General features: G+C 51.6%; 1 protein-coding gene across 28 annotated transcripts in view, besides 5 other annotated features; it reads right to left on the bottom strand.

Annotated features, from left to right (window-relative positions):
* Positions 1 to 15,606, bottom strand: part of ADGRE2 (adhesion G protein-coupled receptor E2) — a 54,390-nt gene extending 38,784 nt beyond the window's left edge. For 9 of the 28 annotated variants that reach the window (XM_047438720.1, XM_047438724.1, XM_047438721.1 and 6 more), the window contains exons 1-10: positions 13,772 to 13,973; positions 11,302 to 11,352; positions 10,984 to 11,100; positions 9,388 to 9,543; positions 4,024 to 4,155; positions 3,281 to 3,427; positions 2,704 to 2,850; positions 2,570 to 2,616; positions 2,366 to 2,443; positions 1,479 to 1,656 (exon numbers count right to left, since the gene is read on the bottom strand). In XM_047438720.1, coding sequence (XP_047294676.1) covers positions 1,479 to 1,656; positions 2,366 to 2,443; positions 2,570 to 2,616; positions 2,704 to 2,850; positions 3,281 to 3,427; positions 4,024 to 4,155; positions 9,388 to 9,543; positions 10,984 to 11,100; positions 11,302 to 11,352; positions 13,772 to 13,802 — 1,084 coding nt within the window. In that variant the 5' untranslated portion in view covers positions 13,803 to 13,973. Of the gene's footprint in view, positions 1 to 1,478; positions 1,657 to 2,365; positions 2,444 to 2,569; positions 2,617 to 2,703; positions 2,851 to 3,109; positions 3,250 to 3,280; positions 3,428 to 4,023; positions 4,156 to 4,952; positions 5,921 to 9,387; positions 9,544 to 10,983; positions 11,101 to 11,301; positions 11,353 to 13,771; positions 13,974 to 15,302 lie in introns of those variants that run through there. The other 19 variants (XM_047438731.1, XM_047438732.1, XM_047438723.1 and 16 more) reach the window with 9 other exon arrangements.
* Positions 10,545 to 11,046: an enhancer, noted in NCBI's record as "H3K4me1 hESC enhancer chr19:14884311-14884812 (GRCh37/hg19 assembly coordinates)". NCBI's record gives its function as "activates a minimal SCP1, AML or CMV promoter by ChIP-STARR-seq in naive H9 embryonic stem cells {active_cell/tissue: H9 hESC(naive)}" and the evidence as "EXISTENCE:reporter gene assay evidence [ECO:0000049][PMID:30033119]".
* Positions 13,083 to 13,142: an enhancer, noted in NCBI's record as "active region_14179". NCBI's record gives its function as "activates an Ori minimal core promoter by ATAC-STARR-seq in GM12878 lymphoblastoid cells {active_cell/tissue: GM12878}" and the evidence as "EXISTENCE:reporter gene assay evidence [ECO:0000049][PMID:35858748]".
* Positions 23,349 to 23,800: a transcriptional cis regulatory region, noted in NCBI's record as "candidate enhancer chr19.2424 targeted for multiplex CRISPR interference". NCBI's record gives its function as "positively regulates DNAJB1 gene expression with high confidence in K562 cells {active_cell/tissue: K562}" and the evidence as "EXISTENCE:mutant phenotype evidence [ECO:0000015][PMID:30612741]".
* Positions 23,349 to 24,064: a biological region, named in NCBI's record as "CRISPRi-validated cis-regulatory element chr19.2424". NCBI's record gives its function as "regulatory_interactions: DNAJB1".
* Positions 23,565 to 24,064: an enhancer, noted in NCBI's record as "H3K4me1 hESC enhancer chr19:14897331-14897830 (GRCh37/hg19 assembly coordinates)". NCBI's record gives its function as "activates a minimal SCP1, AML or CMV promoter by ChIP-STARR-seq in naive H9 embryonic stem cells {active_cell/tissue: H9 hESC(naive)}" and the evidence as "EXISTENCE:reporter gene assay evidence [ECO:0000049][PMID:30033119]".

The following is a 26,154-nucleotide window of genomic DNA, read 5'->3' on the forward strand; positions in this document are numbered from 1 at the left end:
GTGAAACAGACACTTTAAAGTGGTGAACTTGATGTTATGTGAATTTTATCTTAATAAAATTAATGCTATATGCATTTTCATGCTTTAAAAATTATTATGCAGGCCGGGCGTGGTGGCTCACGCCTGTAATCCCAGCACTTTGGGAAGCCGAGGCAAGTGGATTATGCACAAGGTCAGGAGATCGAGAGACCATCCTGGCTAACACGGTGCAACCCCGTCTCTACTAAAAATACAAAAAATTAGCTGGGCGTGGTGGCGGGCACCTGTAGTCCCAGCTACTCGGGAGGCTGAGACAGGAGAATGCTGTCAACCCAGGAGGCGGAGCTTGCAGTGAGCCGAGATCACGTCACTGCTCTCCAGCCTGGGCGACAGAGTGAGACTCTGTCTCAAAAAAACAAAACAAAACAAAACAAAACAAACAAAAACAAACAAGAAAGAAATCATACTTAGAGATCAAATGATATTAATTTATAGTATTCCAAATTAAATAAATTGTTCTCTTTTGAAGTGATTTCTATTTTGTTATTTTAAATTCTTCATCATAATTATTTACTGCTGATAATTCATATTACAATGAAAATGCATGTTATTTATGCATTTCTTTTTCCTTTCCTTTCCTTCTTTCTATTCTTCCTTCTTCCTCTACTCCTCTCCTCCTCCTCCTGTGCTCCTCCTCCTCTCCTCCTCTCCTCCGCTCTTTCTCGTCTCCTCCTCCTCTCCTCCTTCTCTTCTCCTCCTCTTCTCCTTCTCCTCCTCCTATCTTCCTCTGCCTCCTCTCCTCCTCCATTCCTCCTCCTTCTCCTCTCCTCCTCCTCCTCTCCTCCTCCTTTTCTCCTCCTCCTCTCTTTCTCCATTCCTCCTCTTCCTCCTCTCCTCCTCCTTCTCTCCTCCTCCTCTCCTCCCCATCCTGTCCTCCTCCTCCCGTCCTCTTCCTCTTGTCCTCCTCCTCCCATCCTCTTTCCTCCTCTTCCTCCTCCCCTCCTCTCCTCCTGTCCTCCTCCTTCTGTCCTCCCCCTCCTGCCCTCTTCCTCCTTTTTCTTCCTCTTTATCCTCCTCCTCCTCTTCACCTCCTCCTCCTTCTCTTCTTCTTCTTCTTCCTCCTCCTCCTCTTCGTCTTCTCTTTTTTGAGATGGGGTCTTGCCCTGTGAACCAGGCTGGAGTACAGTGATGCAATCATAGTTCACTGCAGACTCAACCTCCTGGGCTCAAGCGATCCTCTCACCTCAGCCTCCCAACTAGCTGGGGCCACAGTTGTGCCATCACATCTGTCTAATTTAAAAGATTTTTTTTTTTTTGTAGAGATTGAGTATTGCCATCTTGTCCAGACTGGTATGTATTTCTTTTTAATCTCTTATTTTAGTTTGTCGATGAGAGTAACACTGATATACAGGTGTGGTCACTTGGCTCTGGTGGGACTGGGAAAGGAAGGAGACAGAAAACATGCAGAGCTGGAGTCTGGGGCAGACCCAGGGACCTACCTGTGCCTGCAGGATAACTGAAGTTCAACAGCCCATTGGAAAGGTTCTTGCTCAGGCCTCTGAGGACATCCTCTAGGCCATCCAGCAGGTGACTGGCCACACAGTGCTGCTGTAAGCGGGGCAGGGTCTCCAGGTCCCCAGGGGCCTCCAGCAGCTCATCCAGCGCCTGTAAGATGCTCTGGAGGGATGTGGACACAGACCTAGTGAGCCATGGGCCAGAGGGCCCGCATGAAGACTCCAACCGCTCAGCCCCAGGGAACAGATCCTAGAGACTGTCTATCTGGGGGATGAAGATGGCATTGGCGGCTGGGCGCGGTGGCTCACGCCTCTAATTCCAGCACTTTGGGAGGCCGATGAGGGTGGGTCACAAGGTCAGGAGATCGAGACCATCCTGGCCAACATGGTGAAACCCCGTCTCTACTAAAAATACAAAAATTAGCCGGGCGTGGTGGCGTGTGCCTGTAATCCTAGCTACTCAGGGGGCTGAGGGAGGAGAATCGCTTGAACCCGGGAGGCAGAGACTGCAGTGAGCTGAGATCGGGCCACTAAACTCTGGACTGGCGACAGAGTGAGACTCCGTCTAAAAAAAAAATGACATTGGATGGGATTCCCTAGGTGATCCTTGACTCTGGTTATGGCCCCTCAGAGGCCAACACTTCTGTGCAATATCAATGCTGACCTAAACCCAAAGTCCAGGGAAAGCAAGAGGAAAGATATTAAGTGCACTTGGGTGTCCATTAGCTTCCACCAGCCCTGAAAGATGCTGGGAGTCAGACCAGCACCCACTGCATTGGGTCCTGTCCCCTCCCAGACCCAAACTGCCCCAGGCCTCTGTGGGATGCAGCCACCTTCCTGCCTCGCCCCCTTGCCCTGGGTCCTGTCCTTACCTGGATGGTGTTATTGGCCAAGCCTGGCTTGTAGTCTCTGCCCAGGTCCTGGACTTTGTCGAAGAATCGGGAAAGCGTCTGCAGAGAGAGGAGATGTGGGGGTCAGAGAGCCTGGACGGCGGGTGGGAAGTTTAGAACAAGGAGACGGATGCAGTGCTGTGTGGATGGAGTTCCCGCCGCCTCGTCCCTGTGGGGGCCACTCACCTGGCTGTGGACTCCAGGGGGCGGGGTCCAGGTGGAGAAAGTCATATCTGTAGGGAACAAGACAAGCGGCTCATTAGGCGGGAGCGTGTCAGTGTGTGTGCTGGGGGTGGGGAGCTTCTAGGGCCAGGTCATACCTTCACAGACAGTGTCCTTTTGGTTATTCGGGATTCCGTGTCTGGGCTTCCAGCCTGGGCGGCAGCGGCAGCTGTATGAACCCACGGTGTTGAAGCAGACGGTGGAGCTGTCACACTGATGCTGCCCGGAGCTGCACTCGTCCACATCTGAGGACAGGAAGAAGGGGGTCAGGTCCTGTCCCAGCCTGGAGAGGGTCCTGTCTCCTGTCTGTGCCCCCAGCTCGTTCCTCCCGGCATTAGTGCCCCCCTTGGAGAGGTGGACGCTGGGTTATGGAAGCGTGGAGAGGCCTGGGCACAGCAGGTGGGCCCCGTGCAGATGAGCAGGTTATGAATATGGTGAAACGCCTTCCTCCCAGTGAGTCATCAGCTGTTGCCTGGGGTCCCCCTGAGCCTCCCCCCTCAGTACCCCAGCTCCTTCCGCAGGACCCTTGCTCTTTTCTCATCTAGCCTCAGAAGAATGAACGCCTGACACAGTCGGGCGCCTCCAGCGCTCATTCTGCTTGGTTTGTGTGGGCGCCGTTGAACATGTGATCAGATGTTTGTGGGTCTCTGGGAACGTGGGATCTGAGCTCTCGACCTTCACAGACGGTATTGTTTGGGCCATTGGGGGACCCCGGAATCGGTTGCCAGCCCGGGCGGCAGCGGCACTGATAGCTGCCCACGTTGTTGAGGCAGTGGGTGGAGCTGTGGCATGGGTTTTGTCCGGAGGTGCATTCATTCACATCTGAGGACAAAGCCAGAGGGTCAAACCCTGTCCCTGACCAGCCTGGGCCTGCCCTCCACTCACTGCACCCACTCCCCTATCTTTTCATTGCCTCAGACTGAAGACCATTATTGCACGTGCCACCACTTGGTGACCTTCAACTTCACCTTCAAAGCATCTTATGATGGTCTTCCTACCAGATGGGCACAGCAGGGACCATGGTCCCCAGTTTATAGGAGGTGAAACCAAAAGGGAAACTGAGTCATGGGAGCTGGACTTTCTGACTAAAATCTCTCTCCTGCTCCCTCCCTCACTATGGTGGAGGTTCCCCTTCTTAGAACTGGAAGTGACACCTTCTTCCACTCGCACGTGACAGATGAGGAAGGGGTGAGGTCTGGGGGCCCACAAGGGCACTCCAAGCCCTGAAGGCCCTGCCGCCTCCCTGCCGTGTGGCGAGTCCTTCCTGGGAGGTGAATCCTTAGGCAGGGGCTTAGCAGGTCCTTGACCTTGTGGGAACCTGCGGATCTTCTCCCTCCTCCTCGGCTGCTTTGGAGGACCTGACTCAGCTCCATCCCCAGCTCCCGTCCAGCCTCACAGCGTCTTCCTGGGGCCTCTACCTGTGCAGAGCTTCGGGTCCTCAGGTTTGAGCTTGAAGCCAGGCAGGCACTGGCACGTGTAGCTGCCGAGGGTGTTGACGCAGGTGCCGTAGCTTTTACAGAGCCTTGGGTTCTGCTGACATTCGTCCACATCTGCAAGAGGAAGGAGAGGGTGAAGAATGCCCGTAGCTGTGAGCAGCTTTCGGGGCTGAGGGTCCGCCATGTTTCCTGGCACGGAAGCATCTGGAAGGCACCACTGTCTGCTCCCTTTTCTTTTCTTTCTTTCTTTTTTTTTTTTTTGAGACGGAGTCTTGCTCTGTCACCCAGGCTGGAGTGCAATTGCCTGATCTCAACTCACTGCAACCTCCGCCTCCCGGGTTCACGCCATTCTCCTGCCTCAGCCTCCCGAATAGCTGGGACTACAGGCGCCCGCCACCATGCCCGGCTAATTTTTTGTATTTTTAGTATTAGACGGGGTTTCACCGTGTTAGCCAGGATGGTCTTGATCTCCTGACCTCGTGATCAGCCCACCTCGGCCTCCCAAAGTGCTGGGATTGCAGGCATGAGCCACCATGCCTGGCCATCTCCTCCCTTTTCTAATCCACACAGAGGTGTCCCATGGTGAGCATGGTGGCCCAGGCCTTCTGTTGTTCAGATATGGCTGGAAGCATCTGAGTCCTCCCCATCTCCCCTGCCTCCCTGGGCAGCTCCCAGCTGGGGCAGGGATGTCCCAGCCTGAGGATTCAGGACAAAGGTCAGGGTGGGATTTTCTTGGGACCAAGTGCAGGGGGCATGCTGCTTGCCCAGGTAGGACCTGTCTTGGTTCCCAGTGGCAGTCCTGGGCCAAAGGACAGAGCCTTCCTGTGAATTGGAAAAAGGCATCTCCTCTTCAAGTAGTCACAGTCATATTTGAGGAATGGAGAGTAGGCAGGTTTTCAGCTTCTGCTCACCCTCTTGGCTGGGCATCCATATGCAGTCAGCAGCCTATGCAACTGTACATGGTGGTCATGGGTCCTTCTCAGTGAGAACCCTCTGGTTTAGTCCGTTTTGTGTTGCAAGAAAAGAAGTTTATTTGGCTCATGGTTCTGCAGGCTGTGTAAGATGCATGGCTCCAGCATCTGCTTCTGGTGGCCTTGATTTCCCCAGGACAGCTGCTCACTGGCTGAGTTATCAGAATCCCGGTGGCCCTAGCAGGATGGTGCTCTCCCATCCACACTAGCTCTGAGAGCCCAGCTCCAGGCACATGGACCAAGACTGGCCCCTGAGCCAGTCCCCAGGGGAGCATGAGTCTGGTGCTGCATAGGCCAGGGCTGCCTGGACAGTGGGTCCCAGGCCAGGGTGGACAGTGGGGACCGACATACAGCTGGGTTGCCCCAGGGCTGTGAAGGTGCCTTTTTTTGATCCTCAGGAAGGTGTCTTGGAAATGGCAGGATGTAGTGAGAATCCATAGCTGAGAAAGACTGGCCCTGGGTGAAGGTTTAGTGGCTGGAGAGGGGCACAGATGCTGATGGGCAAAGATGGAGGTGTATCTGTCATCTCATCTCTTGGCATTCCACCAGGGACACAGACCTATTTCTGAATGGTTCCACTCCCATGGGATCTGGGTTGACCTCCTGGGAGAGGATCAGGCTTGGAGCAATGGCCCTGATGTTAACCTCTCTTGCCATTGGGTCCACACTAGTGCCTCTTCCATTCACTCAACTCTCCAAGTATGGGGAGTCCATGTCACTGTGCCCACCGTTAGCCACAACATCCTCCAGTGCACTCAGGTGGACCAAAACTATCAGGAAGGGTCAGGGCAGTCTCGCTCAGTGAAAGGGACAGAGACTGAGTGGCAGAAAAAGAGGTCAGGGCTCCACGAGGCATCTTCTCCAGGTGGGGTTGTTGGCCAGTGGCAGGTTCGACTGGGGACAGTGGCCCTGCCTTCAAATCTCCCTCCTCCTTCATTTCTGGACAGGGTGCCTGGGTCCATGATGAGCTGGGGGATCAGAGAGAGTTCCAGGTGAGCAGAGCTGTGTGGAGACTGTCTCATCCTGGCAGTCGCTGATGATAGCAGAGAGAATGGATACTGCGCTGGAATGCACCACGCAGTGAGCTCATCGAATATCCTGAGTGCCAGCCCCCTTTTTGTTTTGTACAAATAAGATACCAGGTCGGACATGGTGGCTCACGCCTGCAATCCCAGCACTTTGGGAGGCTGAGACGGGCGGATCACTTGAGGCCAGGAGTTCGAGACCAGCCTGGACAACATGGTGAGACACCCCCCCCCCATCTTTACTAATAAAACAAAACAAAACAAACAAATAAGATGCCAGATGGGCAGGGGGATGTTCTGAGCTTTTGGAAGTGACCCTCTGTGGAGGGTTCTGAACCTTGAGGTTTGGATAGCGACAGGTGACCAGGTGTTTGGGACGGCCCTGTGATGCCTGGAGTAAGTGGGGCAAGGAGCTGAGGGAGTGGCCCCAGGTCTCCTGCCTATGAGGCCTGTGACACCAGGTAGACAAAAAAAACAAGAATGCTGAGGGGTGAGGGGGATGCAGACAGGGCCCCACGGAGCCCTTCCCTGAGCTGAGGCTTCAAGAGGCAGGTCCTGCTCCGAACTAGCAGGCTGTTCTGTGCGGATGGGGTCCATGAGAGCCCTCTCCCACTTCATTCCTGCTCATCTGTGTCTCTGCCTATCCACCAACTAAGCCCCCTCTCTCAGTGTTGGCCTCTTTTCTTTTCTCTCTTCTCTTCTCTCCTTTTCTTTTCTTTTTTTTGGAGACGGAGTCTCGCTCTGTCGTCCAGGCTGGAGTGCAGTGGTGCCATCTCGGCTTACTGCAAGCTCCGCCTCCCAGGTTCATGCCATTCTCCTGCCTCAGTCTCTGATTAGCTGGGACTACAGGCACCCACCACCACGCCCAGCTAATTTTTTTGTATTTGTAGTAGAGACGGGGTTTCACCATGTTAGCCAGGATGGTCTCGATCTCCTGACCTTGTGATCCGCCCACCTCGGCCTCCCAAAGTGCTAGGATTACAGGCATGAGCCACTGCGCCCGGCCAGTGCTGGCCTGTTTCTAACATGGCAACACACCTCCTCAATAATTACAAACACCACCTGTGCATGCGGTGATACAGTTTGGATATTTGTCCCCTCCAAATCTCACGTTGAAATGTGATCCCCAGTGTTGGAGATGGAGCCTCGTGGGAGGTGTTTGGGTCCTGAGTGCAGATCCCTCATGAACATCTCGGTGCTGTCCTTGGGTCATGAGTGAGTTCTCGCCTTGTTAGTTCCCATGAAAACTGCTTGTTGGAAAAAGCCTGGTATCTCCTCCCTTCTCTCTTGCTTCCTTCCTCTTGCCATGGGATGCCAGCTTCCCCTTTCCCGTCTGCCAAGAGTGGAAGCTCCCTAAGGCCCTCACCAGAAGCAGATGCTGGAGCCATGTGTCTTACATGGCCTGCAGAACCATGAGCCAAATCAGCTTCTTTTCTTTATACATGATCCAGCCTCATGTATTCCTTTATAGCAACACAACATAGACTAAAACAGAGGCTCTCACTGACAAGGACCCATGACCACCACGTACAGTTGTGTAGGTTGCTGACTACATATGGATGCCCAGCCAAGGCGGTGAGCAGAGGCTGAAAACCTCTCCATTCCCCAAATGGGGCTGTGTCTACCTGGAGAGGAGAGGCTTTTCTGTTTCTCTTTTTCTTTTTGTTTCTTTCTTTTCTTTTTTTTTTTTTTTTTTTTTTTTTTTTGAGACAAAGTCTTGCTCTGTCACCCAGGCTGGAGTGCAATATTGAGATCCTGGCTCACTGCAACCTCTGCCTCTGGGTTCAGGTGATTCTCCTGCCTCAGCCTCCTGAGTAGCTGGGATTACAGGTGCTCACCACTATGCCTGGCTAACTTTTGTATTTTTTAGTAGAGATGGGGTTTCACTATGTTTGTCAGGCTGGTCTTGAACTCCTGACCTCAGGTGATCCACCCGCCTCAGCCTCCCAAAGTGCTGGGATTACAGGCGTGAGCCACTGTGCCTGGCCCGGAGAGTCCTTTTTCTAATTCACAGGAAGGCTCTGTCCTTTGGTCAAGATATGTGCATGCAATGTAGCATCTGTTCACAGGGGACCCCTGTGAACCAGCCCCCCTGCTGGGCTCTATGCAGCTGCGTGCTCTCAGAACGTACACCTCTGCTCTGTCCTCACTTTCCTCCCACCAGGGAGGCTCTACTGACTGCAGGGAGAACAGGAGGGACAGGGCTGGGAACAGGAGCACTGCCACTTTTCTCTTTACAGCAGGGCAGGTCTGCTGAACCCCCTTAATGTCCCCTGGGACCCTTGGCTCAGCCTCAGCTTCTTCATTTCCTGCCTTTGCTCACCTTCCCTTCCCACTCTGTGTACTCTGTGTTAATCTCCCTTCTCTGTCCACCTGCTACTGGTTCCCATCTGGCCTTGCAGATGTCTGAAGCTCCCTCCCGCACCCAACTAGTTCCCACTGGAAAGAAGGCAAAGCAGAGTGATGCATGGGGGCCTGGCTTCTCATGGGCTGGAGCTGCAGTGTGGAATAAGACCATGGCAAGGGATGAGGCAGGCTGTGTCGAAATAGATTTCTTCTGAGTGCCAGCCAGGAGTGTGGCCCCACAGGAGCCCAGCTTGTCTGAACAACTCCTAAAAGGCATCCATTGCTTATTTATTTATTTATTTATTTATTTATTTATTTATTTTAGATGGAGTCTTGCACTGTCACCAGGCTGGAGTGCAGTGGCACGATCTCCGCTCACTGAAACCTCCGACTCCCTGGTTCAAGTGATTCTCCTGCCTCAGCCTCCTGAGTAGCTGGGATTACAGGCACCCACCACTGCACCCGGCTAATTTTCGTACTTTTAGTAGAGACAGGGTTTCACCATGTTGGCCAGGATAGTCTCGATCTCCTGACCCCGTGATCCATCCGCCTCGGCCTCCCAAAGTGCTGGGATTACAGTGCATAATAACGTTTAAAGAATGAAGATGCCTGTAGCACCTGCTGTGTGCTGGGCTCTGTTAGAAGCACCTATTCTTTCCTTGGTCCTCCTAGAAGGCATAGGAGTAGGCCATTATTATCATCCTCATTTTATAGATGGGTAAACCAAGGCTCTAAGAGCAGTAGTGATGTTGGTAATATCATTTAGGTAACAGGTGGCAAAGCCAGGATTTGGGCCCAGGTAGCTGGTCCCAGAGTTTTCCCTTGGCCTTCACACCACGCTGCCTCTCTGGGCTGGCGAAACAGGTACATGCACACCTGTCTCATCTCAGACTCCAGGAACTGAACCTATACTTGGGTACCTGCTCCCTGGATGCTGCAGAAACAGCTCTGGTGACCCCAAACCTCATGGACAGTGGTGATGGAGGATGTGGGGTGGTTCTTACCTTGACACGTGTTCTCGCTCTCATTCTTGAATGTTTTTGCCCCAGAAACAGGCTCATATCCTGGGCTGCACACGCAGTCGTAGCTCCCCTCTGTGTTCCAGCAGTCCGAGAATTTTCCGCATGACACTTTCGACAGTGTTGCACACTCGTTGATGTCTGGAACACAACAGGACAGGAGGTCATCTCCCAAAGATGTGAGTTCCGTCAGGGCAGAGACCCCCGTCCTGACTCCCCAACATGGGGCCTGCTGCTTAGTATCTTTTGGAAAGGATCTCAAGTTGCACTGCACAGGCTATGCTGCAGCTGGAGCAGGCCATTCCTGAAGACCACACTTGATCTCAGTTCTCTGGCTGGCATCCTAGATTTGGACACAGTGGACAGTGCTGAGGTGGGGGATGGACAGGAAGCGCCATATCCCCATCCCCAGTCTTTTTGTAGAAATTTAAACCCCATGGCAGCCGGGTGCAGTGGCTCATACCTGTAATCCCAGCACTTTGGGAGGCCGAGGCCGGCAGATCACTTGAGGTCAGGAGTTCGAGACCAGCCTGCCAACAGGGCAAAACCCCATCTCTACTAAAAATACAAAAACTAGCCGGGCATGGTGGTGCATGCCTGTAATCCCAGCTACTCGGGAGGCTGAGGCAGAAGAATCGCTTGAACCTGGGAGGTGGAGGTTGCGGTGAGCCGAGATCGCGCCACTGCACTCCTCAGCCTGAGCGACAGAGTGAGACTCCATCTCAAAAAAAAAAAAAAAAAACAAAAAAAAAAAGAAAAAAGAAAAATAAGGGAGAAAAAAAAACCTATGGCCAGAATGTACCCCCTTCCCAGTCTTAACGGTAAACTGAGGCACAGACTCCAGATTCCTGAGCACGCAGCTTCTCTCTCTCCAGGAAGCCATGCCTATTCACTTCTTACTTCTCCCCCTTCATATTTTTTCCTTTTTCCTCCCTTCCTTCCTTCCTTCTTTCCTCCCTCCCTCCCTCCCTCCTTTCCTTTTTCTTTCCCTCCCTCCCTCTCTCTCTTTTTCTTTTCTTCTCTTTTCTTTCTCTCCTTCTCTCTTTCTGTCTTTTTTTTTTTTTTTTGAGATGGGGTCTTGCTCCTGTTGCCCAGACAATCCCTCCCAAAGTGCTGGGATTACAGGCATGAGCCACCACACCTGGCCTCTTTCTTTGTTTCTTTCTTTTTCCTGAGACAGGATCTCACTCTGTTGCCCAGGCTAGAGTGCAATGGTGCAATCATAGCTCACTGCAACCTCAAACTCCTGGGCTCAAACAATCCTCCCGCCTCAGTCTTCTGAGTAGCTGGGACTCCAGATGTGTGCCACCATGCGCGGCTATTTTGTGTATTTTTTGTAGAGACAGGGTCTCACCATGTTGCCCAGGCTGGTCTTGAATTCCTGGCCTCAAATGATCCACCCGCCTCTGCCTCCCAAAGTGCTGGGAGCCACCACACCTGCCCTCTTTCTCTTTTCTCTGGCCATGATGATAGTCTGGAAGGTAAGGCTGTGGCCCCTCACAACAACCTCTGTCCCCCACTGGCACTGGGCTATGCCTCATAATCGCAGATGTCCCCTGCGCTGCCCTCAAGCCTCTGTACCGTCACAAGTCTCCATGGGGGTGGTGATGATCTCAGAAAAAGAGCTGAACCCTGGATTGCAGCGACAGGCGGTGGCATTGACACACGAGGAGTCCTGAGGGCACCACCGGGCACAGCCTGCAAGAGCAGGGAGCACGGTCAGAAGGTGAGGGGTAAGGGAATACACAAAAAGGGGGCACTGGGGGAGATGGGGCAGAGCGCTGAGTTTCCCGTGCACGAGCCCTCTCTTTCCCTGGGCTGAAGGGGGCTGGGCGGGGGTCCAGGACCCTCCCCAGGCTCTGGCTGTGGACTGTGCTTTCTGCTTCCCAGCAGACTCACCCCTGGAGTCCTGGGTTTCAGCTCCCGGCAGAGTCAGCCAGACACAGAATGCTGCAACAGAGAAAGGAAAGGGGGTCAGAGGGGATCCCAGGGTGGGAAAGGAGGCGTAAGGGTGATGCACTTTGTGGGAGGAGGATGCTGACCCCTCTCAGGCTCAGATCCTGCCCATCGTTCAAACAGAGTGAGCAGATGTCACGTCCCACTCGGATGCTCAAAGCCAGAGAGTCTGTCACCCTGTCCTCATGGGGGTGGGTTTTGTTTTGTTTTGTTTGACACAGGGTCTCTCTGGGTCACCCAGGCTGGGGTGCAGTGATGCGATTATAGCTCACTGCAGCCTCCAATTCCTAGGCTCAAGCGATCCCCCTGCCTCACCCTCCCGAGTAGCTGGGACCACAGGTGAGTACCGCCATATTTTAAATTTTCTTTCTTTCTTTTTGAGACAGGGTCTTGCTCTGTCGCCCAGGCTGAAGTGCAATGGTGCGATCTCGGCTAATTGCAATCTCTACCTCCTGGGTTCAAGCAATTCTCCTGCCTCAACCTCCCAAATAGCTGGGACTACAGGCACCCACCATGGTGCCTGGCTAATTTTTTGTATTTTTAGTGAGATGGGGTTTCACCATATTGGCCAGGCTGGTCTCGAACTCCTGACCTCAGGTGATCTGCCGGCCTTGGCCTCCCAAAGTGCTAGGATTACAGGTGTGAGCCACGGCTCCCAGCTCAAAAATTTTAAAATGATTTATTTATTTTTATTATTTATTTTTTTTTGAGATGGAGTCTCCCTTTGTTGCCCAGGCTGGAATGCAGTGGTGCAATCTTGGCTCACTGCAATCTCCACCTCCTGGGTTCAAGCGGTTCTCCTGCCTCAGCCTCTTGAGTGGCTGGGACTACAGGCATGACCCACCATGCCCAGCTAATTTTTGTATTTCTTAAGTAGAGATGGGGTTTCACCATGTTGGCCAGGCTGGTCTTGAACTCCTAACCTCAGGTGATCTGCCCGCCTTGGCCTCTCAAAGTGCTGGGATTACAGGCATGAGCCATCACGCCTGGCCAAAAAAATTAAAAATAATTTAAAAAGTTATTTTAGAGACAGAGTCTTGCTCTGTTGCCCAGGCTGATCTTGAACTCCTGGCCTCAAGCGATCCTCCTGCCTCAGCCTCCCTAGCTTGGCTTGGGGGTGGGGTTTAAGGAACTGAGGAGTAGGAAAGGGCCATGAGCCTGGTGGGGGTCTCAGCTCCAGCTGCCGCTCTTCTGACTTGGGGGCTGTCTGGTGTGCCTGAGCATTTACTGCCATCTTCATTTCTTTAGATAAAAATGAAGGCATGGTCAGGCACGGTGGCTCGGGACTGTAATCCCAGCACTTTGGGAGGCCAAGGTGGGCAGATCATCTGAGGTCGGGAGTTCGAGACCAGCCTGCCCAATATGGTGAAACCCCGTCTCTACTAAAAATACAAAACATTAGCTGGGCGTGGTGGCAGACTCCTGTTACCCAACTACTTGGGAGATTGAGGCAGGAGAATCGCTTGAACCCAGGAGGCGGAGGTTGCAGCAAGCTGAGATCGTGCCACTGCACTCCAGCCTGGGCGACAGAGCAAGGCTCCGCCTCAGAAAAAAAAAAAAAAAAATGATGGCGCTGGATCCCCCAGGCTCTAAGATGCCCTGGAACCGCATGCTTCCTCAGGGACACAGGTGCACACACACCACAACCGCCGCCAGCCCTGGCGGCCCATCCTGAAACCCAGTGGTGATATTTCACCCCGGGCGCCCCTCCCACAGGAAAACGCTGTGGCCGCCTGTTGGGGTGCATGTGGCGCTGCGGTTCCCAGCACTCAGGAAGTTCCCCTTTCCAAGGCATGTCCTGGGGGACCCTCCTCAGGTCACCAGGGGCTTTAGAGATGGGGACCTAGGGATCTCCTTGTTGTTCACCAGAGAGAGAGACAAAGAGGCAGAGGTAGAGAGAAAACGGAGATTAGGGAGATAGAGAGACTGAAAGAGAGACAGAAGGAGAAAGACAGAGAGAGAGAGAGAAAGAAGGGAGAAGCTGGGGGTACCCTGCAGTGGAGAAGTCCTGGCCTCTATTTTCCCCGCCCCCCGCCCATGTCTTTCTATGCGCTATATTAAGAGCAGTGGCTCTGGGGTCCTAGCACTCACTTTTTGCCCCTTTCCTTCCCCCGTGCCTCAGTTTCCCCTCTTATGGAGCAGATGCCAAACTGGCTCCAGTAGAAAGCTTGAGGATCCCTCCGGGCAGGGTAGCAGGCTCCGAGAGCACCCTGGAGTTCCTGCCGGGGTGTGGGGGTGCCCAAGCACCACCAGCCCCTCTCGCCGTGTGCCCGTGAGTGCCTGCTTGACCATGTGGCTTTCTCCATCGCCGGCCCCACAGACACCAGCGGCGCCTCCCGTTTCTCAGACGCATCCAAGGGGTCCCGCTGGAGCTTCCTCGCTACCACCCCCAGCGGGGCCCCAAAGTACTTACCGAGAAAGACGAGAAAGACGCGGCCTCCCATGGTTCCAGCTGAGCTGCCGGCAGGAGCAGCAGGGGAAAGAGTGAGTGGGACAGGGCTGTCCCGTCTCCGCAGGCTGGGCAGCTGTGCGGGCTGTCCCGAGGCCAGGACTTTATAAAGGAGGGGGGGCGGACAGCCGCTGGCCCAGGGCCCTCCCCGGAACTGGCGGTGCAGCTGGAAGCCAGCAGGAAAGCACAATAAAAACACAGAACCAGGGGCGCTGCACACACACACACACACACACACACACACACACACACACGTGTACTCGCTCAGCAAGAATGAAGTGCAACCTGCTTTAAAAATCCCTCTGCTGGAGTTTCCACCATGTGGCTCTGACCAACCCTCTGGCCTCTGTGTGTTCCAGGCTGGCTGCTGTGCAGGGGAAGGTGTGGCAGCCGGGCGGGGCGGTCTCGCCTGGGGCCACTTGGCTCTTCCCTGGGCAGGCACGCAGGGGCCTTGTCAGAAATAGCTCTGGGCTCCCACTTTGGTAGGGCTCACCCTGTGCCCAGAGCTTTGGCATGCCAGAGTTGGCAGAGCCTGCGTCCCAGCTGGCAGTATCTTCCCCTGCTGTTTTCCAGATGAGGAAACTGAGGCCAGGTACAGAGGCTCACGCCTGTGATCCCAGCACTCTGGGAGGGCGAGGCAGGAGGATCGCTTGAGCTCAGGAGTTTGAGACCAGCCTGGGCAACATGGCGAAGCTCGGTTTCTTTCTTTCTTTTTAAATTAATTAATTAATTAATTAATTAAATTTTTTAGACTTTAAGTTCTAGGGTACATGTGCACAACGAGCAGGTTTGATACATAGGCATACATGTGCCATGTTGGCTTGCTGCACCTATCAACTCGTCATTTACATTAGGTATTTCTCCTAATGCAATCCCTCCCCCAGGCCCCCACCCCCCGACAGGCCCCAGTGTGTGATGTTTCCCGCCCTGTGTCCAGGTGTTCTCATTGCTCAGTTCCCACCTATGAGTGAGAACATGTGGTGTTTGGTTTTCTGTTTCTGTGTTAGTTTGCTGAGAATGATGGTTTTCAGCTTCATCTGTGTCCCTGCAAAGGACATGAACTCATCCTTTTTTATAGCTGCATAGTATTCCCTGGTGTATATGTGCCACACTTTCTTAATCCAGTCTATCATTGATGGACATTTGGGTTGATTCCAGGTCTTTGCTATTGTGAATAGTACCGCAATAAACATACATGTGCATATGTCTTTATAGTAGCATGATTTATAATCCTTTGGGTATATACCCAGCAATGGGATCGCTGAGTCAAATGGTATTTCTAGTTCTGGATCCTTGAGAAATCACCACACTATCTTCCACAATGGTTGAACTAATTTACATTCCCACCAACAGTGTAAAAGCGTTCCTATTTCTCCACACCTGTGATCCCAGCACTCTGGGAGGCCGAGGCAGGAGGATCGCTTGAGCTCAGGAGTTTGAGACCAGCCTGGGCAACATGGCAAAGCTCTGTTTCTTCAAAAAGAAAAAAAATTACCTGGGCTTGGTGGCAGACGTCTGTGGTCCCAGCTGCTACTACTCAGGAGGCTGAGGCAGGAAGAATCACCCGAGCTGGGGAGTTTGAGGCTGCGGTGAGCTAAGATGGTGCCACTGCACTCCAGCTTGGGTGATAGAGTGAGACCCTGTGTCAAAAACAAAAAGAAAGAAAGAAAACTGAGGCATTACAGTGTCCACATAAAAGCCCAGGGAGGGAGAAGGGGCCCTCTTCCGATGCCAGGCAGGTGCCAAGAAGAGAAGCTTCACCGCACAGAGCAGACCCCCCGGATCTTTCTGGTCTTTCTAAGCCAGTTTCCTCCTGTGGGAAACTTATATTTCAGAGGCCCCTGGGCACTTCGTTAATCAACAGAGAATCATGTGATAGGAGGGTTCTTTCCTTTCTGGATAAATCATATGATTAGCTTGTCTCTTGAGGTACGTAATCATTTTTTAAAACGCTATATATATTTTTAAGAGATCTTACTCTGTCACCCAGGCTGGAGTGCAGGGTCACCATCACAGCTCACTGCAGCCTCAAACTTCAGGGCTCAAGGGATCCTCCTGCCTCAGCCTCCTGAGGAGCTGGGACTACAGCTGTGCACCATCACGTCTGGCTAGTTTTCTCCTTAAGTGTTTTTTTTTTTTGTAGAGACGAGATCTCGCTATCCTGCCAAGAAAATGCTATTATTTATGGAGCACTTAATTTGTACCAGGTCTGGTCCTAAGTGCTTTTTTTTTTTAATCTATATTAACTCATTTACTCCTTAAAACATCTGCAATGATGTTGTCATTCCCATTTGACAGAGGAGGAAACTGAGGCACAAGTGACTCACCCAGCTGAGACTCAGATCCACAGGCCGGCAGCCCAGCCCTGGAGTCCCTGCGATGAGCCCAGGGGAAAGTCTCCACTGGGCACTAACATGTCTTTAGCGCCTCCGTGACCCTGAGGCTTAGCAGGTGTCTGTATCCAGCCAGAATTCAAGGACTTGGTTTTGTGTTCCTCATATTTATATTTATTTTTAGGTTTCCCTACTATCTGGGGCAATGAGGAGGGTTTTTCAGTGAGGATGCCGAAATCAAGTCTCCTTGTTACATGAGTAAATTCAAGATGCAGAAGTGATGAATGCTAAGGAAAATATAGTTCAGTTGTTCAAAGGGGGAGATTGCAGCGATGGAGAAAAAAGTCACTAATGACTGAAGTCAGAGAACTATTGTCCTGGGAATAATCAAACATCCACAGTCCTAGAATTTACCCCTTCCTGTCCCGGGCTCCTGTGGGGGTGGCCTGGGCTGTGGGGGAGGGGAGTGAACACCAGCAGAAGCTGGAAGGAGAGAGGGCCAGACCAGGTCTGGAGGGATTTTGCCTTTTTTTTCTCAGAAAGCCAGAAACTCCAGCTAGAACCCCAGGGCTCAACGTCCCTTCTCTGCAGATCAGACGGGCAGGTCAGACAGCTGGCGTCTGCAGAATCTCAGGGAGGTAGTGGCACTTCCTGATGCCAGGGATTGTCCCTACACCCCTTCATGGTGATCATCGACTCTTCTTAATTTAATTTTATTTTACTGTATTTTAGAGACAGACTCTGGTGTTGCCCAGGTTGGAGTACAGTGGCGCCATCTCGACTCACTGCAACCTCCGCCTCCCGGGTTCAAGCGATTCTCCTGCCTCAGCCTCCAGAGTAGCTCGGACTACAGGTGCCCACCACCACACCTGGCTAATTTTTGTATTTTTATTTTATTTTATTTATTTGTTCATTCATTTATTTATTTTGAGACAGAGTCTCGCTCTGTCACCCAGGCTGGAGTGTGGTGATGTGATCTCAGCTCACAGCAACCTCTGCCTCCTGGGTTCAAGAGATTCTCCTGCCTCAGCCTCCCAAGTATCTGGAATTACAGGTGCAAGCCACCACGCCTGGCTAATTTTTGTATTTCTAGCAGAGATGGAGTTTCGCTATGTTGGTCAGGCTGGTCTCGAACTTCTGGCCTCAAGTGATCTGCCTGCCTTGGCATCCCAAAAGTGCTGGGATTACAGGCGTGAACCACAATGCCCGGCCTGAAACATTCTTTTTAAATTTTTATTTTATTATTATTATTATTATTTATTATTACTTTTTTCTGAGACGAAGTCTTGCTCTGTCACCCAAGCCGGAGTGCAGTGGTGCTATCTCGTCTCACTGCAATCTCTGCCTCCCGGGTTCAAGCAATTCTCCTGCCTCAGCCTCCCGAGTAGCTGGGATTATAGGCACCTGCCATCGCATCTAGATAATTTTTGTATTTTTAGTGGAGACAGGGTTTCACCATGTTGGCCAGGCTGGTCTCGAACTCCTGTCCTCAAATGATCCACGCGCCTCAGCCTCCCAAAGCGTTGGGATTACAGGCGTGAGTCACCATTCCTGGCGGCTTTCTTGAGTCTCTCCAATACTTCTCACCATCTCCCTTCTTCCCTAGCAACCATCTGCCCTCGAGCCGCATTAGGCTGTCAGCCCCCTGAGTGACTTTTGTCTTTTTCTCTGCAGAGCACCAGCACAGAGCCTGTGCTGAGTGGGGCCCTATATGGTAAACCATGCAAATTAGTAGTACTCCTGCCACTCCACTCCGCTGCCGCCCAGCTAAAGGAAGCCTCCTTCAGCCTCGCTGATCTGGTCCCTGCCGGGGTGTCTGCCTATGTTTCTCCGCCTTCTCTTTGTCCAGAAGTCTCAGTCCTGCTGACCTATTTTGCAGCTTCTGGACAACCTCTGCAATGATGGGGGGTGCGAACATGGTCCTCATTTGTCAAAAGGGGAACTGGAACCTGGGGGTTTGGGGCCCCTGGCCCCAGGTTGCTCAGCTAAGAAGTAACCCAAGATTACCTGTAATCCCAGCTGCTTGGGAGGCTGAAGCAGGAGAATTGCTTGAGCCCAGGAGATGTAGGTTGCAGTGAGCTGAGATCGCGTTATTGCACTCCAGCCTGGGCGATAGAGCCAGACTCCGTTTCAAAAAAAAAAAAAAAAAAAAAAGAAGCAACCCAAGATTATCCAACCAACAATAATAATGGTATTATTAATTATATTAGTATAATTTATTGTTATTATTTTAGAGACAGGGTCTCTGTTGCCCACGCTGGAGCACAGTGGCGGTGGCACAATTATGGCTTCAGGCAACCTGCACGTCCTGGGCTTATGTGATCCTCCTGCCTCAGCCTACCAAGTAGCTGGGACTACAGGCATATGTTGCCATGCCTGGCTAACTTTTCACTTTTTTTGTGTGTGTGTGAGGGGGACGGAATCTTGCCCTGTTACCCAGGCTAGAGTGCAGTGGCGAGATCTCGGCTCACTGCAACCTCCGCCTCCCAGCTTCAAGCAATTCTCCTGCCTCAGCCTCCCTAGAAGCTGGGATTACAGGCACACACCACCACGCCCAGCTAATTTTTTAGTAGAGACGGGGTTTCACCATGTTGGCCAGGCTGGTCTCGATCTCCTGACCCTCAAGTGATCCGCCCACCTCAGCCTCCCAAAATGCTGGGGTTACAGGTGCATGCCACCATGCCTAGCCACACTCCTTTTTTAAATTTAAAAACTGAGTGAAGTCAGGAGAAAAAAATCTTAAATTGCAGCATGACAGATTCCATACTAGAATCTTGAAAAAGTCTCCAAAGCCCCATAGGAAAAAGCCACCTTGCAAAAAAGCTGAGATACAAAGATAATAAAAGATTTGGTTTCAGGATACAAACATATGCAAGAAGACTTTAAAAAATAATCAAGGCTGCCGGGCGCGGTGGCTCATGCCTGTAATCCCAGAGAGGCCGAGGTGGGCAGATCACCTGAGGTCAGGAGTTCAAGACCAGCCTGGCCAACATGGTGAAACCCCGTCTGTACTAAAAGTACAAAAATTAGCCGGGTATGGTGGTGGGTGCCTGTAATCCCAGCTACTTGGGAGGCTGAAGCAAGAGAATCACTTGAACCCGGGAGGCAGAGGCTGCAGTGAGCTGAGATTGCGCCACTGCACTCCAGCCTGGGAGACAAGAGTGAGACTCCGTCTAAATAAAATAAAATAAAATAAAAATACATAAATATAAATAAATAAATAAAAATAAACAAGGCTGGGCCGGGCGCAGTGGTTCATGCTCGTAATCCCAGCTACTTGGGGATGCTGAGACGGGAGGATTGCTTGAGCCCAGGAGTTCGAGACCATCCTGGGCAACATAATGAGACCTCCATCTCTACAATAAAAATAAAAAATTCGCCAGGTGTGGTGACTCGCACCTGTGGTCCCAGCTACTCAGGAGGCTGAAGTGGGAGGATGGCTTGAGCCCAGGAATTCGAGGTGGCAGTGAGCTGTGATCATACCACTGCACTCCAGCCTGGGTGACAGAGCAAGACCCTGTCTCAAAAATAAATAAAATAAAAAAATAAGTAACTGAGCAAAGGAATAAGGTGCAAAGAATATTCAGAGTGGTGGTAATCAGCAAGATAAAGATGGGAGCATGGGAACAAGGTCATGTCTCAGTTCTTGGTGATGAGGGAGGCTCATGGGTATGCCTTCCTTCCCTTTTATTTTTTAATTTACATATTTTTTGCAAAGCAAAGTTCTTTATTCCCGCAAATTGTGAACAATACACATAGTAGTTTCCACATATGAATGTTTCCTAAAATGATGGCTGTTTTGTTTTGTTTTCTTGAGACAGAGTCTCTTGCTCTGTCGCCCAGGCAGGAGTGCAGTGGCACAATCTCGGCTCACTGCAACCTCCGCCCCCCGCGTTCAAGCCATTCTCCTGCCTCAGCCTCCCAAGTGGCTGGGATTACAGGTGCACACCACCACGCCAGGCTAATTTTTTTGTATTTTTAGTAGAGACGGGCATGAGTCACTGCGCCCAGCCAAAATGATGGTTGTTTAACGTAACGCCATGTAATGCAGGCATGTGGTGTTTTGCGGTTATATTCACATGTGATTTTATCAGGGACCAAAGCAAAAACAAAGAGAATTCTGAAAAGAGTTTGTATCAAGGAAGATAAAATCGGCCAGGCAGAGTGGCTCATGCCTGTGATCTCAGCACTTTTGGAGGCCGAGGCGGGAGGATCCCTTGAGCCCAGGGGATCGAGACCAGCCTGGGCAACATGGTAAAACTCCATCTCTACCAAAAAATGCAAAAATTAGCCAGGAGTGATGGCATGTGCCTGGAATCCCAGCTACTCACGGGGCTGAGGTGGGAGGATCTCTTGAGCCCAGGAGTTCAAGGTTGCAGTGAGCTCTCGCCACTGTACTCCAGCCTGGGCCACAGAGTGAGACTCTGTCTCAGAAAATAAGTAAGTAAAATAAAGCTGATCATGGATAGACCGATGGTCCCAAGAATTACATTGTTTCATGAATTATATAAACCTGAGGCTCTATACAAATATTTAAAAAAGAATTTTAAAATGTGTAAAGGTTTTAAGGAGAAGCGATTAGAGGAAGCAAAGGAGAGAGTAGGGTGGGGGAGGGGAACAGCTCAGGGGTGGCTGTGGGGGTGGGGAACTGGTGGCAGCCAACAAGAAGCCCTGAGCTGGGAACGCTGTGTGACATTTGGTGGCATTTTTATCACCTTCTTGCAGCTCTCAGTGTCTTCCCCATTTTGCAAAATCTTCTGAGCAGGGTGGTGCCGATGTCCCGATAAGGATGGGGTCAGGCTTCTGGGGGGCACTGTGAGGATGGGGGTCTCAGAATCCTTCCCTTGACTTTCGATGGGTGGGGAAGGCCAGGGGAGGAAGGGGGCTTATTCAGGCTGGGTGCCCACCCGGGTCAACCCCTCCGCATGCCTCTGGGCCTCTTCTGTTGTGGGCTTGTGGGTTCCCGAGAATTAGGGCCATGGATGGCACTGACGGTCCCAGCCAGTACCAGAAAGAAACGATGGGAAAGCATTGATGAGAATCAACCCATCCCCAGGGCTCTGTCCCTCGGATGGAGGTCTCCCTTTCACTTCTTTCCAGGCATAGAAAACAGTTTGCGGCTCCTCAAAAAGTTACTTGCAGAGTGACCCTGTGATCCAGCCATTCTGCTCCTGGGTATACACCTGAGAAAACTGAAGGCAGACACTCAAACGGATACTTATGTTTATTTTTAAATTTAATTTAATTTAATTTTTTTGAGATGGAGTCTCTCTCTGTCACCCAGGCTGGAGTGCAGTGGCGTGATCTTGGCTCACTGCAACCTCCACCTCCTGAGTTCAAGCTACTCTCCTGCCTCGCCTCCCGAGTAGCCGAGATTACAGGTGTGTGCCACCACCCCTGGCTATTTTTGTGTGTGTGTGTGTGTGTATTTTTAGTAAAGACAGGGTTTCACCATGTTGGTCAGGCTGGTCTCAAACTCTTAATCTCAGGTGATTCCCTTGCCTCGGCATCCCAAAGTGCTGGGATTACAGGCGTGAAGCACCGCACCTGGCCTCATATAGTTACTTTTTGTGTATGGTTATGACGTAGGGTCTAAGTTCTTTCATTATTATTATTATTTTTTGCATGTGTATATCCTATTCTTGGGAAAATTTAAAGGGGATTATTTCTGTTTCTGGTAACGCGCGCGTTCATCCTGTGCTCCCCTGCCTGTAATTCTCCCACTAGGGTCAGAGTAGGGCTGGAAAAGCGAAAACCATAACTAGAAGAGACTTCCCCAACAGGATGTTGCCCAACCCTGGCAGGGCTGACGTCCAGCCTCCAGGGTCCTTACCGGCAGTGCAGTCACAGCTGTGACTAAACCCAGCCACCCACAGCCTGACGCCCCCACACCCTTGACCTTCCCTTTAGCTTCGGGCTTGAGCAGGCCTTTGATACTCAAATAGAGAAAGGAGACAGCAAGACCCCTGTGCCTTCTCAGAGGGGGCACCCCCTTCCCCGATGCCTTCACGGGTCCTGCCTCTCCGGGACCCAGCTTCCCTCCTGGCCACCCCACCACCTCCCCAGCCACACCTCATTTCCACCCATCTAGAGAGGGTGAAACACAAACACTCCTGGCAGCCCTGCCCGAGTGTGTCCTGGGACATGGTGGGGTGGGGGCTCCCCGACTCCTGGGAAGGGGAAGTCTGGGGTGGCCTGTCCTCCCAGCTCCTCGCCCCACTGGTTCCTCTCCCCATGAGTCATGGGAAAAAGCAACAAAACCAACCGCAGGGAGATATAATATCTCTTCCTGTATCTGTGACAGCTGTCTTGTTGGTCTGGCCGTCTGTTCTTCCTGTGAGCATCTGAATCCGTTCAGACCAAGCTCTTCCTCTCCTTGAGCACCCTCTATGGCTCCCACCTTACCCAGTAAAATCCAGTCTTCCCCAAGGCCCACAAGGCTTGGCTGTGTGATTTGCCCTGTCACCTCCAGCTCTCTTCCCCTCATTCACTTGGCTCCAGCCACAGCACCTTCCTCACTATTCCCCAAACAAATATACCAGGCCCAGTCCAGCCTCAGGGCCTTTGCATGTGCTGTTTTCGCCACCTGGAATACCTTTCCCTCAGAATTTTTTTTTATCTTTTAATTATTTTGTTTTTTGAGACAGAGTCTTGCTCTGTCACCCAGGCTGGAGTGCAGTGACACGATCTCGGTTCAACCTCTGCCCCCGCCCCCTGCCTCCCCGTTTTCAAGCAATTCTCCTGCCTCAGCCCCCTGAGTAGCTGGGATTACAGGCGCCTGCCACCACGCCTGGCTAATTTTTGTATTTTTAGTAGAGAGGGGGTTTCACCATGTTGGCCAGGCTGGTCCCGAACTGCTGATCTCAGGTGATCCACCCGCCTCGGCCTCCCAAAGTGCTGGAATTACAGGCGTGACCACTGTGCCTGGCCGAGACACTGCACCTGGCCTCTTCTTACTTTTAGAGACAGGGTCTTGCTCTGTTGCCCAGGCTGGAGTGTGGTGTTGCCTTCATGGCTCACTGCAGCCTCCACCTCCTGGGCTCAAGTGATCCTCCTGCCTCAGCCTCCTGAGTGGCTGGGGTTACAGGCCCGAGCCAGGCCTGTTCTGTTTCTTCTCTGTACTCGAAACCTACAGCAATGCTCTAGGTTTGCTCAATACACACAGTAGCTGCTCAATAAATGTGCATAAATAATACATGAACGATGAGTTCTAGCTGGGAAATGACAACTGGGAAAAGTGGGATGTGGAGGATAATTTAAGAGATGAGAGCTGTTTCCGAAACTCCTGGGGGGCCTGAGGCGCCCGGATCGGGGAGAAACGGGGGCGACCATCCACTTCCCCGGCAGTCGCACGCACCTCCCCTTGGCGGCCCACAGATGGCGCTGGCTCCACGCGCTGCAGCGGCGGGAAGCCGGAGGTGGGAAAACCCAAGCTTTAGCCCCCTCCCCTGTCTGGCTGCTGGGGTCAGTTCCTGGCCCGGATTAGGATGCCAAGCCCGGGCACCCTGCTTGGGGTCCCACCTCCTGGTAGACGGGCTTTTTGGTCAAATGAGGGGAATCTGAGAAGAGTGGGGGTGGTCCACTCTGTGGTCCTCCCTCTGTCCACGCATGCTCTGATTTCCCCATTCCTAAAACTAGTTCAGCAGCTCCATGCCTGGGGGAGGGGTGAACGCACTTAACCATGTTCGTGTTCTGCCTTAACTTTATATAGGTTAGAGCTGGGCGCAGCGCTTGGTGTCAGTGGGTCCTGGGTGCACATTTGTGGAACAGTGAATGGGTGAATCCCTGTTTTACAGATGGGGAAACTGAGGCTCAGGAAGGCGATGCGGCTCACCCAGGTTCATAGAGCCAGAAAATGGCAAGGCTGGGATCGGAGACACCAGGCCTGCGTGAGTCCAGAGTCAGCTCGTTTTTTTTTTTTGATTGTTTGTTTGCTTGGTTTTTTTTTTTTTTTTTTTTTTTGAGACAGGGTCTCTGTCACCCAAGCTGGAGTGCAGTGGCAGGATCTTGGCTCACTGCAACTTCCGCCTCCTGGGTTCAAGCGATCTCCTGCCTCAGACTCCTGAGTAGCGGGGATTGCAAGCGCGTGCCACCATGCCCAGCTAATTTTTTGCATTTTTGGTAGAGACAGGGTTTTACCATGTTGGCCAGGCTGGTCTCGAACTCCTGACCTCAAGTGATCTGCCTGCCTCGGCCTCTCATAGTGCTGTTGCCCAACCTCAAAAAACGAAAACGGGAAGTTTTTGTCAACAGGAGCGTGGGAACCGGAAATCCTTGCTTCCGATACCGGAAGTCAGAGACCACACATTTGCAGGGAGCGAAATTGAGGTCCCAGTGCGGGGGCCTGCAGAAATCCAGGAATAGGACTCAGGGATCTAGGGCTGGGATGTTGGTGGTTCTGAGCGCCCAGGAAATAGGAGTTCTATGAGAGTAAGTATGAGAAATTGGAAGAATGCAGAGCTTGGAAAGGAATTGGAGGGAGTCAGAGAATGAGGGAGACTACTGTGAGCTGGGAGGGACCAGCCAGAGTGGCGCCAGTGTCCCGTGGTTCAGGAGTTTTGATAAGAGAATGCAATAAACTAGAATTGCACTAGAGTTAAAAAAAATTAATTATAGTTTATTTTTTTGAGACAGAGTCTCTCTCTGTCGCCAGGCTGAAGTGCAGTGGCAGGATCTTGGCTCACTGCAACCTCGGCCTCCCAGGTTCAAGCGACTCTCCTGCCTCAGCCTCCTGAGTAGCTGGGCCTACAGGCGCGTGCCACCATGCACAGCTAATTTTTGTATTTTTAGTAGAGACGGGGTTTCACCATGTTTGCCAGGATGGTCTGGATCTCTTGATCTCGTGATCCGCCTGCCTTGACCTCCCAAAGTGTTGGGATTACAGGTGTGAGCCACTGCGCCTGGCCCAATTATAGTTATTTTAAATTCCCTATTAGTTTATTTCTAAGTCTGGTTTCTGCTGATTTCTCTGTGGTTTGTGTTTTCTTGCTTTTGCTTGTGCTTCATAATGTTTTTCGAGACGGAGTCTCACTCTGTGCCCAGGCTGGAGTGCAGTGGTGTGATCTTGGCTCATTGCAACCTCCACTTCCTGGGTTCAAGCAATTTTCCTGCCTCAGCCTTCCAAGTAGCTGCGACTACAGGTGCACATCATCACGCCGTCTAATTTTTTGGATTTTTAGTAGAGACAGGGTTTCGCCATGTTGGCCAGGCTGGTCTTGAACTCCTGACAGGTGATCTGCCTGCCTCGGCCTCCCAAAGTGCTGGGATTACAGGTGTAAACCACCGTGGCTGGCCCGTGTTTCATAATTTTTGATTGAATGCTGGACAATTTGTGTAGGGCAGCTGACAATGAGGTATTATTTATGACTGGAAATGAGCACATCTTTATATTATTTCTCCTAAGCTATTTTTGTGGGAGGTTAAGTCTGTCTGGAATCAGGTTAAGTCTGTCTGTAATCAGTGAACCCCAGGCTTCAGTTTATTTGAGTGTTACTTTGGTGTCTTGTGTTGGGGTGAGGGCTCTCTTTGCAAGAGGGTTTGTTTGTCTCATAGTTGTTCTACCTTCAGCTGTGGCTCTTCCCTATGTAGCTGCATTTCAGAGAGAGTCTCTCCACATTCTTTGCACTCCTGCAGAGTTCTAATACTTTCATCAGTGACCACTCTTGGGGCTATTAAATTCATTAAAAATTTAGATGAATTCTTCTTAGTCACTTGTATTGACACCCAGATAACTTCCTTTTGTGCTCTGCCTTAGGTTCGCCACTACTCCTTATGGTCTCTCTTTAGACACTCCTGTCTTTCCTTTGGTTTCAGGCTACTTTCTTGTCCCATTACCTCTGTTCTCTAATGGGTTCAAGAAAATTAATGGTTTTGTAGTTTATTTGGATTTTCTTATTCTTGGGTTTGGAGCCATACTCATTTTCATTTTCTATTTTCTAGGCAGAAGTAGAGATCCCCTCCATTTTTTCCTAACGTTTTAATAATTTTATTTTTAATTTTTAGATTTTAAATCCA

Source organism: Homo sapiens, chromosome 19 (genome assembly GCF_000001405.40).
Source record: "Homo sapiens chromosome 19, GRCh38.p14 Primary Assembly".
NCBI lineage: Eukaryota > Metazoa > Chordata > Mammalia > Primates > Hominidae > Homo > Homo sapiens.